The sequence below is a fragment of the Homo sapiens genome, chromosome 3 (genome assembly GCF_000001405.40).
Source record: "Homo sapiens chromosome 3, GRCh38.p14 Primary Assembly".
In the NCBI taxonomy this organism is placed as follows: Eukaryota; Metazoa; Chordata; class Mammalia; order Primates; family Hominidae; genus Homo; species Homo sapiens.
Genome location: NC_000003.12, coordinates 89,103,542 through 89,124,516, shown reverse-complemented (window position 1 = coordinate 89,124,516; position 20,975 = coordinate 89,103,542). Strand labels below are relative to the sequence as shown.

General features: G+C 35.6%; 1 protein-coding gene across 5 annotated transcripts in view, besides 2 other annotated features; it reads right to left on the bottom strand.

The window, feature by feature from the left end:
- Positions 1 to 16,896, bottom strand: part of EPHA3 (EPH receptor A3) — a 374,514-nt gene extending 357,618 nt beyond the window's left edge. For all 5 annotated transcript variants that reach the window (NM_005233.6, NM_001410778.1, XM_005264715.4 and 2 more), the window contains exon 1: positions 16,681 to 16,896. In NM_005233.6, the coding sequence (NP_005224.2) occupies positions 16,681 to 16,768 (88 nt within the window). In that variant the 5' untranslated portion in view covers positions 16,769 to 16,896. The remainder of the gene's footprint in view (positions 1 to 16,680) is intronic.
- Positions 9,724 to 9,833: a silencer, noted in NCBI's record as "silent region_14549". NCBI's record gives its function as "represses an Ori minimal core promoter by ATAC-STARR-seq in GM12878 lymphoblastoid cells {active_cell/tissue: GM12878}" and the evidence as "EXISTENCE:reporter gene assay evidence [ECO:0000049][PMID:35858748]".
- Positions 16,915 to 17,054: an enhancer, noted in NCBI's record as "active region_20121". NCBI's record gives its function as "activates an Ori minimal core promoter by ATAC-STARR-seq in GM12878 lymphoblastoid cells {active_cell/tissue: GM12878}" and the evidence as "EXISTENCE:reporter gene assay evidence [ECO:0000049][PMID:35858748]".

Genomic DNA, 20,975 nt, shown 5'->3' with positions numbered 1-20,975 from the left:
ACATACTTTGGATTTATAAAGTGCCTTTTGTTTGTACCCAAATAAAAATAACACCGTCTAAGAATTCTAAATACTTTAAAGTGAATTGTTACTTAATTGGGACTCCCAGGATACAAACCTCAAATCTCCTGTGATCCATTGTAGAACTGTTTGAGTATACAGCATAATTGAGGTAAGAAAAGACAATGAATGGAATTTCAAAGTAAATCTGTGAGCGATTTCTCTGCATACATTGACTCAATGTAACATTGCAATACATATCTTAAATCTCACACTGATACAGGCAAGAACTTTGGTTACTATAATGCTGTCCCCTCTCTAAACATATCTAGACCTGATCATTTCCTTTCAAACTCTAGGACAGACAGGATAGGCTAATGAGTTGTGACATACAAATATACTACTGTGGACTGAATTTTAATTGCACTAGTAGTTGGATAGTTTATTTCAATTGCTGGACAATACGAGTTCGCAATGATAAAATCTGACAAAAAGAAAACTTTCTTAAGGCTAGATAGGAACATATGCATGACTTCATTCTTTAATGGCTGTCTCATGCCAGTTATTTATCAAAGCTGTAAGTTACCCCTTCCCAGATTTCATATTCTAATGATGTGATTGCCAAATATTTTTGGTGTGTAACAGAAAACACATTATTTTGTTAATTTTAGAATATTTTATATTCAAAAAACTATGTGGAATATATAAACTTTTTTAATGAAAGTGATTTAAATTGGAAATGTTTTTAAATGTCATGATTCTATTTAAGTTGGTAAATAAATAACTGGAGTTTTTCTGGGCAAAAATGAATTTGGAAAACACCATCTTAAGTATAGATGGATATGGTTCTAGGTTTTTCTTTCACATGTTTTACTGCCTCTAATTGCTTTTAAATAGAGATGTATGACTAGAAGGGGCTTATATTCATAAGAAGGGGAAGGCAATCCTTACTTGGACTGTTGATTTGACTTTCAGATGGGCACTAAGTTACTAAGATCTGGAAAGAAGGAATGGTGGTTTCTGACGTAAATAAGAAGGTGTAGAATGGAGTAAAGGAGTAAAAACAAAGTATAGTGGCGGGCGCGGTGGCTCATGCCTGTAATCCCAGCACTTTGGGAGGCCAAGGCAAGTGGATCACCAGAGGTCAGGAGTTCAAGACCAGCCTGGCCAACATGGCGAAAACTCATCTCTACTAAAAATACAAAAATTAGCTGGCATGGCAGCACACACCTGTAATCCCAGCTACTTGGGAGGCTGAGGCAGGAGAATCGCTTCAACCCGGAGGCGCAGGTTGCAGTGAGCCGAGATTGCGCCACCGCAATGCAGCCTGGGAAACAGAGCGAAACTATCTCAAAAACAAACAAAACAAAGCAAACAAACAAAAAAAGGAGGAAAGTATAGAGCAAATTGGCTCAAATTGGTAATAAGTACTTATGGAAAGGAGGAAACCTAGATGTCATTTCTGCCACTGATTTCTACTGTTATGTTTCCCCCTCTTTTGGATTGTGGGATTAAGATTCCCAGAGTCATCCTCTCTCTTCCTTTCCTATCCTCTGTCACAATGGAGAGACTCAATCAAAAGTCCACTCCTAGTAAAATTGCTCATTAGTATTGGTAGTGTCACAAATAATTGCCTATTCAAATAATTTACATAGTCTTTTCTTCTTAGTAAAAGGAACAAACTAAGACTTTTTATTTCAAATTCTCAGTTACTAAAAGAAGGGCTTGAAACAAATGTTCCCAGTTAGTGAGGGCGGATTAAAAATGTACAAGTTTCTGGAGTTTTGATTTTTAGAGAATTATTAACACATAAAGATTTTTAAAGGACATTTCTAAATTCTGATTCATAGTGGCTACTTGTCCACTTAGAAAGACTGAGAGTGAAACTAATATTCACACCTTGAAAGATTTTTAAGTGCCACAAACATGCAGAGAGTTCTAAAAGGTTTTTAAAATTAAATGCCACAGTTTTTTACTGAAGCAGATCTTTCCAATTACCTAATAATACACCCATAGGCTTTGTGGTAAGGCTATAGTTGCATTTTATGAAACTGAGTTATAAATAATTATTAAACAATCATTTCAAGGTTAACAGTAGGCTTTAATGGCTAAAGAATTTCAAACTCATATAATAATGCACATGTTCTCTAGTAAAACCTTCAGTTATAAGGGACTTTTATAGCCAAGTACAAATAACTATAAAACCACTACAACAAAAATAAGCCCATCCTTTGATTACATCTTGTTTTCACTAAAGAGTAATGACAGTTTCTTTCTATGCACACCATCACTGTAATTGTCCCAGCCTCATTTCACAAATACTTATCTTTATGATTTTCACCACTTTCTGTTATAATAAGCAGAATAACTTTGCTCTAGGTTACAGGACTACACAGAGCTCTTCAATCTGCTTCTAAGTATATTTAAATGTCACAAATTGAAGAAAATGATACAGAAAGAAATAAACTTTGTACTCAGTGTTATCATTCTCTGTGTAGTTCTCCGGTCAAACATAATACAGAATTAAGAAATCGACCTATATTTTCTGATAGGAATTCAGCAAAGCTCAGCTTTTCTGTTTTACTGTAAGCAGCAGGGTATGATATTGAGAAGTTTAGAGAAGATAGATTTTTGATGTACTTATATATTGCAACATAACTTTTATCTACCATGCTTGTATATTCTTAATTTAATTGTTCCTGTGGACTTCCTGTTTGTATTTATTTTCTTTCTACCCAAGCATAATTTTTTTTTTTTTTTTGAGACGGGGTCTCCCTGTGTCGCCAGGCTGGAGTGCAGTGGCACAAACTTGGCTCACTGCAACCTCTGCCTCCTGGATTCAAGCAATTCTCCTGCCTCGGCCTCCTGAGTAACTGGGACTACAGGCGTGTGCCACCACACCCAGCTAATTTTTGTACTTTTAGTAGAGACGGGGTTTCACTATGTTGGCCAGGATTGTCTCGATCTCTTGACCTCATGATCCGCACGCCTTGGCCTCCCAAAGTGCTGAGATTACAGGCGTGAGCCACCGTGCCCAGCCAAAATACTTTAATAGCTTTAATTAGTATTTTATTTCACAGATAAAAATTATAAAAATGTTGTACTATAAACGAAGTCAACTATTATGTGTCAATTGTGTGCAGATAAAAGTTCCTGTAAACTGTGTTAAATTTAGCAGCATTTTATATCACAGAAATGTTAATTTATACAATTTTTATCAAATGAACAGCTAAAATTATGATGTAATAATTTATTTTATTTATTTATTTATTTATTTTTTTGAGACGGAGTCTCGCTCTGTCGCCCAGGCTGGAGTGCAGTGGCACGATCTCCTCCCACTGCCAGCTCCGCCTAACAGGTTCACGCCATTCTCCTGCCTCAGCCTCCCGAGTAGCTGGGACTAGAGGCACCTGCCACCACGCCTGGCTAATTTTGTTTTTGTGTAGAGACGGGGTTTCACCGCGTTAGTCAGGATGGTCTTGATCTCCTGACCTCGTGAACCGCCGGCCTCGGCCTCCCAAAGTGCTGGGATTACAGGTGTGAGCCACCGTGCCAGGCTGATGTAGTAATTTTTTAAATGCTGCCATGTTAAACATTGCTATGAAAAACCTTTGGTCAGGTGGTATTTTAACAGCCTATTTATGTGATATAAGAAGATTTCTGCACTTAACTTATTCTTTCTCATTAGCTTTTTCTCCTGGGCAATAATTTTGGATTTATTTCTATAAAGATCTTATAGAAGAAATTGCAATTAGCTGTCTCATCTCAATCTTTGCCAACAGTAGGGGGAACTCCTTGGAATCAAAACAGAGTCTCACAATAAGATGAGTCTGTGTTTTTATAACTAGAGTGATTCAGGAAATAACATAGAACAAAATTCTGCTAGAAACTTACTTTAGTAAATGTCAATCCTATGCTGTTTATCAAGTGTTAAAATTTTCTTTCTTTCTCTTTTAATCAGAGAAATATAAAGGTCATACTGATATCAAAACTATTATGGAACAAACAGGTATCAAGATATCAGTAGAAAAATGTGTTCTTATAACAAAATAATCCTTTCACATAAATGAGTTGTGATGCTCTACTGCCAGTGAATTTTTAGTGCACTAACAGCCTGACTTAAATAACAGCTCTTTGTTTCTCTCCATTGTTAACTGATATTATGAATCATTCAGACGAGTAAAATGTGTCTCCCAAAATGTAAGTTTCTAAAACCAGGACATTATTATGTAAACAGCATTTTATTTTTCACAGTTTTGCTTTTTAAAGTGTTCCAGAAGTAATAGAATGATTGTTTACATCCAATTCAGAGAGACCTTTTTGAAAGATTAAAAAGTGAAAAATGAAAACATATTACTCAATTATGAAATACAAATAGTCATTAAGGGAAATAGCAGTTTAAACTACAGCATATGCATTTTGCCTTCACCCCATAAAATCAGTCTATCTTGGTATTTAAAAAATCATATTATCATAAAATGTAGAATATCGACATCCAGATAGCACAGGCTATCTGTTCAGCCAGAGTTTGACTGTTGGCTGGGAAAATAGAATACAAGAAGAAAACTGGCCTACAGAATAACTCTAATGTAGTATTTCCTTTAGAAATAAACATAGTTCCTAGAAGTCCGTTGGATATAAAGATTCAAAATTCTAGCATAGGAAACAAAGAATGTAGTGGTGAAACAAAAGTAAGTTTAAATTTAAAAACATCCTCTGGACATTTTGGCATCCCCAAACACACATGTGCACATACATACACACATATTTGTTTTGAAAGAACCCCACTGTAGAATAAATTGGTTTCCTTATTAAACAAATTTCTGGAAAACTAAAATCAGAATAAAGTTCTGACTTCATCATATTCTGCAGAATATCTGGATTGTCTAAAATCTCAGGTGTATCATTTATTTTGATCATGACAATACAAATTTGATGGACATCTACAAACACAGGCACACACACACGAACAAACTCTTCAAGACTTGTTTTTGGGTTTTTATAATGGTCCCCAAAGGATCAAATATGGTACCACATTCTTAGCAGTTTATTTCAAAACACTAGTCTTTTCCTTTGCATCTTAGGAGCATGGTGTCAATGGAAAGCATCAAACTCCGCACTGGAATAGTCAGAAAACTTTTAATTTATTGATGAAAGAGATGGCAGAATGCAAATAAAGACCAATGAGATATTTTTGGGTAGTGTAGTCATAATAGGAATAGCACCTACAGAAGTTTTTATATGGAGATGGTTCTATTTTGATATTCAGTCACATGTGTTTCCAATATATTCACATGCACTCACATGTAATGTAAAGAATTTATGTTAGCTTCGGTATGTGCTTAACAAGAACTATTTCTGAATATTTAGTTATTTTGGACATGCTTAAAAGTGTGTCTTTGTTATATATTCATTTAAATTATTTTTAAAGTTACATGCAGTTAAAAATAAATCTGGGTTAAAATTATCCCCACCACATGAACTTAAGCAAAGCTTCTAATCTCCTAGTCCTTGTTTTTATGAATTTATTATTATCTTTTACCTTAAAAAAATTCTCCCTGTCTCTCAGGGACTCTGTTCTGGGACTTAAATTGCACCCTCCACTAAAGATTCATATCATATTTTCATAATTTTCATATCTATGTTATAACAATTTTTATATAAGTATTTATTTTAGATTCATTTATCCCATTGAATTTGACATCTTCAAGAGCACAGAGCATTCCACTCCCTAGCAGATATTTTTTTTCAAAATCTAGTGGGTAACTAATCCTCAGATAAGTACTGTTTGGTAAATAAACAGACAATAAATTATTATAATATGAAAGATGAGTCATTATGTAACAGGCAATTAGTTATATATCAACCCTTTTCTTGACTCATTTTAATGATTCTTAAAGTTGTGCCTTTGTCATTACATTTAGAGTTCCAAAGTTTTCACTAATAGGGTTAGGGTAGTAAACCTACTACACACCTGGCCAAACATAAAATAAAACATGCTTAGTTAATTTCCAAAGGATCACCTTTGGAAAGAAAAATTTAAAGGAATATTACTAATTTTATATCTTTTTAGTTTTCTTCCTCTCATTTTATTTTTCTTGTGGGAATATTAAAACATTTAGTATGATTTGGAACATCACTTTGAAAGATAAGAAAAATTTTCTTTATGCAATGTACAAATGTCAAAGAAAATCACTTGTATCTGAAAATATAGAAAAAAACCATTGTTAAGCATGGATTAACTAGTTTAGCCAGATGAAATACATATAATTACACATGGAAATTTCTTTTTCAGAGAACAAGGACAATCAAATCATAATTTAGATCAGAAGTGTCAAGAACACTATAATAAAACCTCTAAGTTTATCTTTTTGAGTTATCGAATGTAAATGAGTATTAAATTATCTATAGTAAACCAGATAGTAAAAGTAAACCAAGAGAAAAATACTATGTCCTTTTATACTGCATCTTTGAAAATATTTCCAATATTTGGCAGTTACTAGATTTGGTGGTGTTTATAGATTTCATAAAAGAGTAACAATCTGACTTAATTCTAGTTCTAGTTTTCTATGATGCTGTCAGTTCTTTTATTCTGTAAAAAAAGCAAAATCTACCATGATCAGCTGTGACTTATTCAAGGGGGAAAGAAATCTCAGTTTGTATATAACTCTAGCCTTTTTGCCACCTTTGAATATTATAGATGATTAGAGGACAATTGGGGAAAATGAACAAGATTAGATAGTGACAAATAAATCAATGGTTGTTTTTGTTTTTTTCACATCACCTGTTTGTAATTCAAAAAAAAATTATGCCATAATGAGGTCAAAAGGTATATATTTATTCATTAAATTTTGCTTACAGTTTGGGAATAGCTCAGTTTTGTAAGAGGACAATACTGTTGGTGATATAACACACCACACAGTGCTGCAAATAGACTTTTCCTGTGAGTGGTGTTTTGCTTACCCAGAGGATTAGTTAGATAATCCACATGGAAGACATTGCAAATTAGCTTCCCAGACTTTCCCTCAGTGTGAAGACTGCCATCAGATGCAATGAAAGAATATATCCCTTTAAAAGCTATACAGTTTTATTAATTGCTAAATTGCGTTTGAAAATCAGGAAATAAATACATGTTAACTGCTAACAAGCTGCTCTGTGTTCCCCTTAGTCAGTCTGAGGTAGATAGGAAATGTTACAATTTCCTGTTGATTGGAAATCAATCAACTTTATCATAGGCAAAAAGTAAAATTTTAAAGTCTTACATGAGGCAGTTTACACTTACTGGACCTTTAGATCTTATTCATCTATTTTTCTTAACTATTAATTGAAAAAACCTATATTAACCTTCTCAAAATGAATGTATTAAAAATCGAGAAGAAACAGTTTTGATATTGACCAACTAAACTTCTCAGTAATAAAATTAACCCACAATTCTCTATTTGCTTAAGTCCCTTTTGAGGCCCTGCTATGTAATCAGTCAAGATGTTTGTCTTAAAAGGGAAGACAGCTCAGTTTGGAGCCTTTAAAGTCAGTTTACATTTGCCTTGATTTGAGAGAGTTCTGAAAACCCAAATATAAATATAAAAAAATCAAATAATAGGAAAATGAGTAACAAATATGAATATAAAAAATCAAATAACAGGAAAATGAGTAATTGACATGAATTCTCTGGAAGTAAGGGGGAAAAAGTTTGTTGCTAATTCTTCACTTTGTTCATGGAAAATATGCCAATAGCTTGAAAGAATGGCTAACTCTTTGGTTAACCACCACATTAGTTTTTTTTTTTTTTTTTTTTTTAATGTTACAGTGAAGACAGCAAGATACTAAAAGCTGCTTTCTGCTTTGGAAGCCTGATGTCATCAATATGCTATTTTTGCTCTTTGCCAGGTTAACAGAATTTATTGCAGCAATTAATGCAAAACATATGTGCTAAAATACCCACATGAAAAATATAATTGCCCCCAACTTAATTTGCTACCTTTCAAAAGCCTGTTTTAGCTACCTTTTCTCAATGGCAGGAGTTAAATAGAATACAAGTGCTTTTATGAAAGAAGAGCTAAATCACTAAAATTTATTTTCTCATCTTAAGCAATTTAAAAATTATATTTTAAACGGGGGGAAATTTCCACAGAGACTAAAGTCTACTTTTTGGACCATGTTCTATTTTCTCCTATTACTGACCTTTAAGATAATTCCAATTGTTAATTCACACTTCATTTTTATTACACATAACCCTAAATAATCACACTCTGGTTATATTGTACAATTTCCTCACTATCTGTATGTATGGAATTCCTGACAAAATCTTCTTTCCAGGGTGATGAAAGGAGTGTTTGAGTGTCAGGAAAGGAACACAGAGGTAAGAACGTGTGAAGAAAAGTCATCACAGATATTTTCATCTACTCTTCTGTCCACAACAAATTCCTTTAACTTAGTTTCTTAGTGGGTCCCCCCCACACGCAGATAATCATAACTTATGAGTGTAACTACAGTTCCAAAGTACCCTCATTTATATGGTTTTCTTCAATTTTTCACTACAAATTTCTGAATGTTTCTAAATTATCCTTGCAAAGTCAGAAGACAAATTAGTACAGTCACTGGGATTAAGGTTGAGAAGCTAGTGCTTTTCCTGACAATGATGCCTCCCTAGTTCATAGTCATTTGTGTCTAGGAGAAAACATATGAGGTTAAAATCAAAAGACAAAGACGAGAGAGGGCTTGGCTTAGTTACCGCTTTATTATGATCCATTTTCTCAGTTTCCTCAGTTGTAACAATGGGAAACATTATGTTACCTATTTTAGGGCTGCTTTAACGATTAAATGAGGTTCAGTAAGTCGTGAATGATAATGTAAGGGAAAAATCTATTTGCCAGCAGAGCACTGAGCAATTATTTTCTCAGTGTTGAACACGGCACTGAGGATATATTAGTCTTGAAGTCTACAGGATTTAACAAAATCATCTTTTATGAAAAAGACTGAAGTTCTAACACAGCCACAGAAACATCAGGATCATCCACCCACCAAGCTATCTCGATAGCACAGCTCCCAAAAACCCTCTCTTGCCCATTCCATGTTTACTCCCAATATTGGAAGAGGAAAAATCCTGTTTTAATAAAATGGTGTCAGTCAAACACGGGCTTTGGGAGAACACAGACAACTTTTGAATATGCACAGGGGAAAAGTTTACTGACATCCCCTCAGCAATTACTAGGGGCCTAAAGGTGGCACTAGCAGGTAGTTTTAAAGAAAATTTTTCTAAAAAAAAAAAAAGATATTCTTCATTTTAGTCTAGCGACACCAAAAGAGTTGAATGCCCAAAAGATGAAGAAATAGTAAAGGGATAGGGTTAGAAATCAGCAAGCTGCACAACAGGGCGTATGAGGCAACTCCTGTGAGTCTCAACCAAGCGCACCCAGTAAGAGATGCTTTCTCAATCCGGCAGCGAACCTTGCAGAATATCTCCTTCCCCTGGCTGTCACCTGGTGAACCCATGAAAATGGATGGAAAAGAGACACGCCACTTCCAGACATCAAACTGAAAAGCCTAGCTGACAGCAATGCGAAAGGCGGCAGGGCGATCGTAGATCCTGAATTAAAGTCTATTCCTCAGGTCAGGACCTGCCAGGCCCGTCCAAGGCGCATGGACTCTCTGGCGTCTTACTGACGCCCAGGTAAGGAGGGTCCAGGTGGCAAGGAGTACGCCGTGCTCTCCCAGTGCCAGCAGATCCGCGGCAGCAGGCAGAGGGCGCACGTTTGCCTCTCGCGCGCTCCAGTCTCCTCCTGGCGCTCGTGTTCGCTTAACTTTGCACCTTCGCTCTCCGCTCGCTACAGAGTCTACACCGTCCGCCCGGGGGCAGAAACCCGGAGCAAAAGAGCATCAGGCTGCGCTCGCCCACCCACCCTACCTCGGGACGGAGGCCGTGGCACCCTGGTCGCGCTCCGGGAACTGACTTGGGCAGCCAGGCGCGGAGAGACTTGTGCACAAAGAACCCACTGGCCTCCAGAGGGCTGAGACTGCGTTACGCGCACCCGGAGATGTTTTTTTATGATCTCATCTTTAATTTGATGCAGAGTGAGCAAGCAGTGAACTGTTGAGAGACACCGTTGTTTTCCCTTTGCACCAACGAGCCTGGACCTAGCGGAGAATAGTTTGTGGTTAAGACACCCTGATGGTGGGTGTGGTGGCAGCAAGGAACACTTGCTCATCTCCCTGTTGCCACATTACTGTCTCTACCCGTACGGCTCTGCTTTGTGCTAAAATTTCGCATGACACACTTTTGTAATTTAATGAATTTGCATTATCAAATGTGGAAAGTGTAAGGCGAAGAAGAAGAAAGGCAGTTATCCCCTCCTGTGGCTACTCCTGTCCATGGCGAGGAATATTCACAACAGTTTGTTTGTACAGTGCTGCCACTTGCTTTCCTCCTCCTTCCTCACCTATTATTCTCACTTCACCATGTTGGTTTGGATTATGTGGATTTTCACCCTTTGCTTTGACTGGAACAGCGGGACATGATTTAGAAAATGAAGGGTTGGGGGATGTTCACACTCAGGGCTTCTAGTTTAATAACATCACTTCAAATTTGAGGCTTTATTTGCTGAATTGATTTTGATTCTGTCCACCCCTCCACATGCATTCGTCCAGACATTCAAAGGGGGAAGCATTTTAGCATTTTTTGGCTGTCACTCTTAAAACTTTCCTGGATGAAATATTTTCTTCTGGGAAAAAATCAAAAGTGTGTAAACTTGAGGAGAAACAAAGAAATGCAGCCCCCCCCCACCTCAACCCCATTTTAAGTGTGCGGGGTTTTTAGGGATTTAATAAAAATTGATTAGCCAGATGTTTTACGTGATAAATGCCTTTCTTTTAAGCAAATGATTTATATATTAACATTGGCTTTAAAACCTTTGCTTTTCTCTACTTCTCCAGTTTTCTAATCAACTTTTTTTATTTTCTTTTCTCCTGCAAAAACTTTTTTCTTTGTAATCGACCACCCTCCCCTCTTTTTTTTTTTTTTTTTTTTTTTTTTTTGTACAAAGGAAGCTGGTAGGAGGCAAACTAAAACTTGCTGACTTTCAGATTTTCCTGGAGAAAACCTCCTGCCAGGTTCCAAGAACTACCTGATACCAAGCAGCTGGGAACAGACTTAATGAAATCAAGCAAGTGGCGCACATGTATCCACACCCCGAACACACTGAGGGATGTCTTCCTAGGTGGATTGATTTGTGACTTGGAAGACTTTGCATTTTATAAATGTCACAATATTGCTTTTACTAATATTTCTAAAGTTGTTACAGAAGAGTTAGCTAAGGTTTCCACATTTCTGAGAAGTAAATTTCTAATCCTGGTTTTCTGTATAACTGGATGAATAATATAATGAATGTTTCACACTACTGGTCAACCCTTTATTTAAAAAATCTGTGGAAAGCTACTTGTGTACTTGGTAAAAGCCCTTTATTGACCTTCCGTGATGATAAAATCCAGATCTCTGAAAACAGAACCCAAAAGGAGACACCTGCATCTGTTCTTCTAAATCTTCTCTCAAACAGGAATTAAAGGAACAAGGTTTATTAAATATTTTAAAGAAAAAATGTGCAGGCTAAAAAATAAAGTTGAGGATCTTGACAGAAAATAACTTGTAAAACTTAATGTTCTTCCAAGAAATACACGTTTCCCCTTATATCTAGTATTTATGCCAAACCGAATCATTGAAAGAATGATTCAAATAAAAAGTAGCCCAGATCACAGATTTTTTTTAGTAAATGTCTATAAAACCTTATCGAGTTTGATGATTTGAGGAAAGTTTTATTAATATTTTCCTGAAGATCTTATGACTTGGAAAATGTAACTTTCAAGAACACTTCTTTTTTTTTTCATTTGTGTTGAAATTAGTAAATCAAATATATTTTGGAAATATATTTTGCCTTTAAAAATCATTTGCAAAAGTAACTATTTGATATTTAAAAATTGCATATATTTTATTTCCGAAAAAAATTTAAATTTCTGAAAGGATTTTAACATTAGAAAGAAATTTATTGTGGAAAAGTATTAAAAATGGTCGGACCCTTAAGGAACACACCAAAGTTTGAATGTTAAATGTAGGCAATACATAAAGAATGTTACTAAATCATTTATTTAATAATAAACTTATTAAGAGCAACGTGAGATTACTAAGTTGTTAATATGACCAACGAGCCAACCATAATTCAATTCAAGAAATGAAAAACTTTACCAAAAACTTCCTAAACCTACTAAAAAATGTTAAAAATAACTCTCTAAGATCTGATTCTGTACAATATTTTGTTTTAAATTTTTGTATTAAAGTGTTTTTCATTATAGCTCCCAATTTCTAGTGTTTCATGGAAAGACAACTTTATATAAAATACAACCATGATCTAACACGTGGCAATGGTGTTTTATTACATGTAGTTCCCCTTTTATAAGTCCAGTCACTTCTGAATTAGAAGTATATCCAACTAACTTTTAACCTTAAAATAGGCAAAGAAAACCCTATCAACTACAGTAACAATAATTTAAAAATATAAAATTAAAAATATTGATAGTTACAGTGAAACTGTTTTGTATTGATAAATCTATTGTTATTACTAGAAGATGTAATATCTAAAAGAGTTTATAATTGCTCATTTATGACAAGGACTGGAATAGTATGATTATGAAACATAAAAATAAAGAGATTGAGGTATCCGAGTGAACCTTTTCACCACTCAAATTATTATTATAGATACTAGTCTTTACAAAGATATAGATTCAGAATGAATTAATTTTGTGATAGATTTTGAGAGGTTACAAAAAGTTTCTTTACGGGACATTCAAAATATTATCGTAGCAATTCAGATTGTCAGTAAAAGCTTAAACAAATTTGCTGATAATCCTGTTAATGACCTAGGTCAAGTGTTAACTGTTGTGGGTTATAAAATAGTGAAAATAAGGTTTCTCCTACCTTCAGGCAAATAGCACAGTTAACCATGGAGGCGGGGTGGGGGGGGGATGTAGGGGTGAGCTATTAGGAGAGCTATTAAATTACAAAAATGTATAATGCATTCAATTATTTAGTCTAGCATGATGAAATGCTATGAAAAGCAAATGTAAACCCTCTTCCAAACCAAAAAAACTTATAAAGATGATATGATAGCTTAGTTCTCTATTAATGTTTTAATCACAGTGTGTTCTTATTTGAGGAAAAGTGTTTATATATGAAAAGTGATGCCAATTTATTGTAATTTTTAAAAATGAAAAAATTGATTATTTATTTTCTCCAACATTTGCCTACTACTCAAAGGGAAGCTTATAATATTCATATGCAAGTTTTACTTTTAAGTTTTAAACAATTGCATAGTTTCCTCTAGTATTTAGAATATTTATATTTAGGGAAATGCATTTCATAGAAATAGTGTCTTAGCTACTAAAAAAAGTCTTTAAAAAAGTAGTATATAAATATGAATATTTAATTTTATTCAGTTTTATTTTGGATACTCTATTTTCAATATAAAGAGCTTTCTAGGTAAATGTTAATCCAATTTATGAACTCTTTTGGATAGAAAAAATGATTTAGTGTATTATGTGCTGATGAATTAATAGTGCATTGTACCCCAGACTGCCATAAATGTATAAAAGTGTTTAAAGAAAGTATTTTTACCAATTCTGAAAGGGTTGAAGTAACCACAGTTGATAATTTTATTTTATATCCAGTTTTAACTTTGTTCCAATGTTATTTCTGTTTACCATTAATCATCCCTGTGGTATGGAAACTAGGAGTAAGTATATGAACTTTTAAAATAATACGTAGTGTAGCAATCATATTTTGCCATGAAAAACAGCTGATCTCCCATTAAAAGTCTTTTCTTAAGCCATGTAAACAGAGAGACCTGATAAGAATTTAATAAAGTTTTTATAAAGTTCTGTTTAAGTATATAGGCCAATTGCTGAGTCAAGTGATCATTGGAATTATGAATATCTGTTATCGTTGATGAGTCCCTATTATCACCTGGAGTCATTTTCTTGAAAGCATATAAGAGAGATATTTGTAAATACATTAATAGAAGGAAAATTCAGATTAAACATTTTCTAAGTTATTTTTCTTATCAGGGACCCATGGCATTTCAATATTGATGTTTAATGATTAAATCTTAAATTAAAAAACACATCACACAACTGCAAATGTCCTAGCAATTAAGTCAATGGCCTGGTTTTGTTCTCTTTGGTTCTCAAATGCCTAACTTCATAACAGATTGAAGAATATATTCTAGTAAATATGTTTCAGTAAATTTCTCATAAATTTTTTACAGTGTTGAAATATTTCAATCATAATATTTTAAATACAGTCTAGTATTTCATATTTCAAAATTAAAAAATTATATCAGAAAACTACATTAATACCATTTTTAAATCACCACTCCTCTCATATATACATTTTCAAAAGAATTGCTTTCTATTTAAATTACATTGTTAGAAAAATTGCACGGAAATCTTGGCACATACTTGGCATTTTCACTTTTCATGTTATTCAACTCAACTGAGAGCCCAGCTATGGATAATATTTAAAATCTCACTCAAGTATTACCTAAGTTAAATCATCTTAAATTTGTTTTAAAGCTTCCCTTCACAATCACAGGAAGGAAAAGAGACACTACCCATAGGACACAATCTGGAAGGAATAATCCCATGAATGATGGATAAACTTTCATCCAAGCAAATTAAATGCAATTATGTCAGCTTTCTGAATATATTTACCTTTCTATATCCATATGGTTAATGTGTACCTGTCTGTATAATTATATACATTATATCCCCAAACATACATGAGGTGAGGCTTAAAAGCAATTTGTATTTGATTAACTCTGTTTCATTAAATTAATACTGATTAATTTTACATAGGTGTGAAATAGTTTGGTGTCTTTTTTTTTCTCTTGCAGTTTACTTAAAGGTTGTTTTCCACAAAAATACTGACTAACAGCTACATTCTTGTGCATAATTAATTCAGTAATATCCATATCTACATAGTTCATAACCATTCTATCTGGAAAATATAATTTATCATGACAATGTGGGAATTTTAATACTATTTTTCTAGTTATTGTCAATATTTTAATATCTGCAAAGAACAAAAATTTTTAAAACATTAAGTTTAATTTATTGATATGTTACCTATTATACATGTTACCCGTTATACAAATGAATACTCTTACCTTTCATTCAGGAAGAATGATTGACTCTTACTTTCAAATAAACATTTTAATTTGGTTTGTAAAATAAAAAGTCATTTGTGGGTAAGATAATTTTCTTGATCCTTATATTTTAGAATTTTCATTTTCTTATTTAGAAAAAAGATTCAGAACATTTAATGAAAACTGCCAAATTGATAAAGGCAGTCAGTAAGGAAGGAGATAAATTACTGCTCTATTAGCAGTGAAAGTAGGTCACCGAGTATCAGGCAGTTATTACATTTAATAAAAAACTTTCTAAGTATTTTGTTTTTACTCGTGTTTTTAAAATTAAGGTACATATACAACAGTATTGGCTTGACAATATATTTTCTAAGGAGTGATGTATATAACATGATGTTTGCACATCAGTTGCTCGGTATTGTTAACTTGCAAAATAAATTGCTAAATGTTACTGTTATAAGTTCAAAATCACTAAGAGGAAATTAATGTTGTAAGTGTGGCTTTACACTAATCAATTATTTAGAGAAGTTTGTTTTACGAGTTAGTGACTGTATTCACAAGAATAGATCACAAAAGGAATACAGGAGAAAGAAAATGTATGTATTAAGTACACAATCTTATAGAACACATTGGTGTCCTTAACATTAGGTTTGCACTTTAACCCACTGAAAAGGAATTAATGCTCATTACAAGGATAATAAATAACACAACATCAAGGAAATGCCATTTGCTGCATATGAACATTCTCTCTTAATCTACTATTCAGTTATTTACTATATCTTCCCAGGAGCTATCCACTATTCATTAAATACATTCTCCTATTTGTATATAAGCCTTTAAACAAAGAGAATCCAACCTAAGCTTATTGTAATTCTTGCAAATATTACTTACGTTAATGTGGCATATGCTGCTCTTTAGAACCTGTACCATAGAGCAAACCATTGCCTGGCGGGATACACACAACTTCAACACAGCCCTTGCACCATAAACACGCACCTCCGCTTCGACAAACTCTGATTTCCCTTTAGTCCATTCATAAATGCCATGATCCCAAGTAGGAACAACCTGTCATTACCTTTAAACATACTAAAGAGTCTAGAGAGGAAGGCTGAATTTTCTTTCAAACTTCTCGGAGTACCACATGGTCATAATTAGAAAATAAAATACTGCCTTGGCTATTTGGCAATTAACATAACTGGGTTGCAACGCTGGAGGATTTTCTTTCTTTCTTTCTGCTCAAATTGGCAAACAAGGTAATTGCTCGAAATGGTGTCAGATTAAAAACACATTTTCAAAGTTTAGACCATCTAAAATTATCTCCTGAAGTGTTTTAGAAGACAGTTGGAAAAAAAAAAGGCACATCTTTCCTTCACTCTCAGAGCAAACTGCTCTATTCGGAGGCACCTTCCCGACGTGCAAGGCTTCGGTGAGAACGTGCTTTGAAGAGCGTGAGCCCCGCGGGGCAGAGCTCCGTGCGTCGCGGTACCTGGCTTACCTTCATTGGAAGGCTGCGGAATCAGTTCCCCGAAGCTGTCGAGAACAGAGCAGCTGAGAAGGAGGAGGATGGAGAGCTGACAATCCATGTTGCTGGTGCAGAGGGCAGTGAGAGGAGCATATCTCCATGAAGCATGCCACTGATGTGAGGGGGAGCGCTCTGATTGCTGGAGAAGTTACCATGCTCCGCTCGCAGGCTGATGTCAAGTTTGACACTGGAGATAAGGAGGAGTCTGGCTGCCTTTCCGCGAACCCCGCTCGGGGACTTCCCTGGGTCCTAGTGCCGTCTTCAGCGTGCGCTGAAGCAGAGCGGGATGGCACGCAGCTGGCTCTGCAGCCCAGAGCTGCTCGGGAAGGAGACCGGGTGGGAGTGGGGGCGTCGCCCATGGGACAGGAAACACAGAAGATGTGATGAGGCCGCGGTGCTGAGAAAAATGCTCCCTCTTTTGTGTTGCATGAAAAGTAGCTGTTTTATTGTTTGCTATCCATGCTCTGTTGCTTAATTCACCGAAGAAATCACAGCCTTGATAGGAGTATCATATGGCAATGTGAGTGCAAAAGGAACTGAAATGCGAGAGAAACGTGTGTTTTGAAAGAATAGCAGTCTTTCGTTAAAAAGTCAATCATGTTTGTATAATTGAAAAAAATGATTATAGTTATTCCTTTACTGTGTTCAATGTGATCATAACTCTCCATGAGTTCTTTGTGATTCAGAAAGACACTAATACACAGCCTGAATCAGAGGGTCTCTGCATTTCCACACCCAATGGTATCGTGGCTTTTTACTAGATCTGGCACAGTGATTTTCCGCGCACATAGAGCATACTTTGTTTTTTTTCAAACAGGGAAGTTGACCTTCATCATCTTACGGAAGGGAGCAAGTCTAACCCCAGCCGGAGGTCTACATTCTTTTCTCGTTCTGTGTTGTAAAAGTAATACAGATCAAACCTAAATTTCTTAATAATACATATCCCCCTCCCTCACCATCTCACATTAGGATCTCTGGGTTCTGCAAGAGAAACAATGCATAATTCACAGCTCCTCCATTCAACTTTCAACCACTGATAGTCTAATAATATTGGGGTATTCTTATTCTTTAACATTCCAAATCCAAAAGCTAAATAATAATGTCCTCGTACTTTCTCACTTATTTTACACCATGACTATCAATGGTCTCTGTTATTTCCAATCCCATTGCTGAACAACCTATTGCAATCTAGTTCAGCCAAACAATTTTGTAATTTATATTTTAATAACCAGCATCACTTATCTTTAAAATATCTCCCAGAAAATGGTTACTCAGATATCCTTCCGCCCATCTATCTCTTCTTATACTAAAAAGAAAACAAGATTATTATATTCCTCTCACAACTTCAGAAAATAAAGGTATGTTGATAATCTTAAGATCAGTGATCAATTTTAGAGCTCTTGATAATGAAACTTAAATGAAAGTTTGAAAAGCCCTTGCTAATAATGTATTCAGTCCACAAACTCAATGTTTTTAGTTAGAGAACACAATTTTCACTTGAATTTAAGTTAATGGTGCCAGATAATAGTTTGATGACTGGGGTGGGGAATTGGGGTGGATAGAAGCAGCCAGGGGAAAAGAGAGATCCTTCTCACTTTTCTGTGTATGCCATGTTACTTTGTGTCTCTAACTTCTTTCCACATTGTGTCACCAGAGGCTGCGCAATCCTCAAGTGCCAAGTCTGTCAGAATTGAAAATAATAGCAGATACTGCCCAGAGAACTTAGACAGTGGTGACTCTGGTGTTTTTTCAAAGTTCCAGCACAACACTTACATTGTTCCAAAGTTAGATACACGTTTTCTGAAACTTGAAAGAAACTAAAATCTTATTTGGAATTGACAATTTGAAAACATTTTGGAGAATCTGCCAATGTGCTGACACGCAGATCCATTGGCGCCCCTCATGCTATTTCTCTTTTCACACTTGAAAACTTAAAAACTGCTTGTCACTGGGAAAAAAGGCATTCATGTTTGCAGAAAGCTACAGGAGTGGCAAAATGAGTACAAAGCAATACCTGGCCTGAAAATAGAATGTAAATGATATAGAATCTCTAAATTGTCAACTCTCTAGTGAAAAGTAAAAGGTTTCCATTATGTAGGCGCCATTCTGGACAGATGGGGAAAAGGGAGTGATGCCAATAAGCAGAGAAGAGCAACCATAGCAGGAGTGGAAAGGATGAGGTGGGGGCAGCAGATGCAGGGAAGCCCTTATTAAGAAAGTGGTAGTTGAGTTGCAGCTTGAAGGATGGGTAGGAGTTCACTAGTAAGAAAATGATTCAGAAGGAACTGCAGGCAGGCAAGTCCAGAGAGTGTCCAAGTGAGCCAAAAATGAAAGCATTTGGCACATATGGAATACAGAGTATATTAGAGTATTTGTGGTAGGTAAAGGGCCGGAATAGGAGGAGGTATGGATTGGAGACAAAATGTAGGGAAATATTCTTCAAAGGACTGGTTGAAAACTACAGAGATTTCGATGCCACATGTCAATGATTTTACAATATATTTTAAACTAAAGAGAGACATCAAAAGCATTTCAGCAAGTAGTAAATTGATCATGTCTCAGTCTGGGGACAAAAGTTTACTAATAGCATAAAACAGGATGTCTCCACCTGGGTGCAATGCTTATTAAGAAGTGATGCCTTCTTCCCACCACAGACTTACTGGACCTAAACCTCCGAGGTTGGAACCCAGGAATCTGCAATTTCACAAAAGCTTCTCAGGTAATCCTTGGGGTCCCTGGAGAACCACTGCCCAATGTGAAGGAGGGAATATTAGAGGTAGGCCAGTTAGACTTCAGGCTATTTTTCAAGTAAGACTGAAGTGATAAGGAACTGAACTAGGATCTCTCAGAAAGAAGAAAGATAAAAGGGAAAATGAGAAGACCATTTTAGGTTAAACAAACAATACTCCCCCAAGGAAAACTGGATTTAGTACATAACTCAAGTTAGGAATTAACAGTTCCCTGGGGGAGATGGCAATTGAGAGGAAACTGAAAAGGGGCATTTTAAAGAAAAGTGAAAAACAAGATTTCTGGAGGAAATGACAAATGTCTCTATTATTAGAGTATAGATTTCGAAATTGTGTCAGCGGGTATGGGAAAGAGGAGACACCGGCTAGGAAGAAGCAGGGTCATGAAGAGTTGTATTAGCTGCTCTAAAAAGCTTGGACAGGGGTGCTGAGGGGCAAGGCAGAAATAGTTCAATTTGCATTTTAGAAAGATCAGTTTGACATATTTAAGAAAGGAGGGGAAAATGAAAGTGAAAACTCCAATGAGAAGCCAAAAGACAAATTAGGAGCCCTTTCCAGTAGGATGGCCAATACCATGTAGAGGTTACCAGTGGGGCTCTTGAATCAGAGCAATCTAGGTCACTGACCTGGCTCTGTCACTCTTAGTGAAATCCAGATAATAACAGATCCTATCTCATCGGAATGTTGTAAGGATTATATCAGATTTGGGATGGTACAGATAAAGTGTTAGCCTAGTGTCTGAATTATTAAAAGCATTCAATACTGTTTTTAAAAAATCTTGATCCAAAAGAGAGATCTAGAGAGTGTGACACTGAGCAGTAACAGTAGAACTGAAACCAGGCACATATAAGTGGGAGAAATGGCAACACTTCATAATAGATTGATTATGAGAAATTAGGCAGACGGTAGTGCGTAGAAGGCCTTTCAATTCCTGGCTTGAATGAAGAGTTAGTGAGGAGTAAGAGAGGTTTGAGGATAGAAAACAGACGTGGAATGTAAAGGTTTCTGTTTTACATATGTCTAGTTGGAAAGACCTGAGGGAAAGCAGAGGGTAAATGAAATATTAGGAGAAAAGGACCTAAGTGGAGTTATTTCTTTGGAAATCATTAGTATATGAAAATAGGCTTGGAGTGGAGGCTCAGCCCTATAATCCCAGCACTTTGGGAGGCCGAGATGGGTGGGTGGATTGCTTGAGCACAGGAGTTCAAGACCAGCCTGGGCAACATGGAGAAAGCCTATCTCTACAAAATCTAGCCAGGCATGGTAACACATGCCTGGAGTCCCTGCTACTGGGGTGTCTGAGGTGGTAGGATCTCTTTAGCGCTGGAGGCAGAGGTGGCAGTGAGCCAAGATCACATCACTGGACTCCAGCCTGGGTGACAGAGTGTTGGTAGGAAGATCAGCTGGATGGCCAAGGATGAAGCCCTAGCATACACCTGTATTTAAAAGGCAGGTAGAAATAAATAGCAAAGGACTAGAAAAAATAACTTATTAGAAATCAAGCTTGTGAAAATTTTGAAA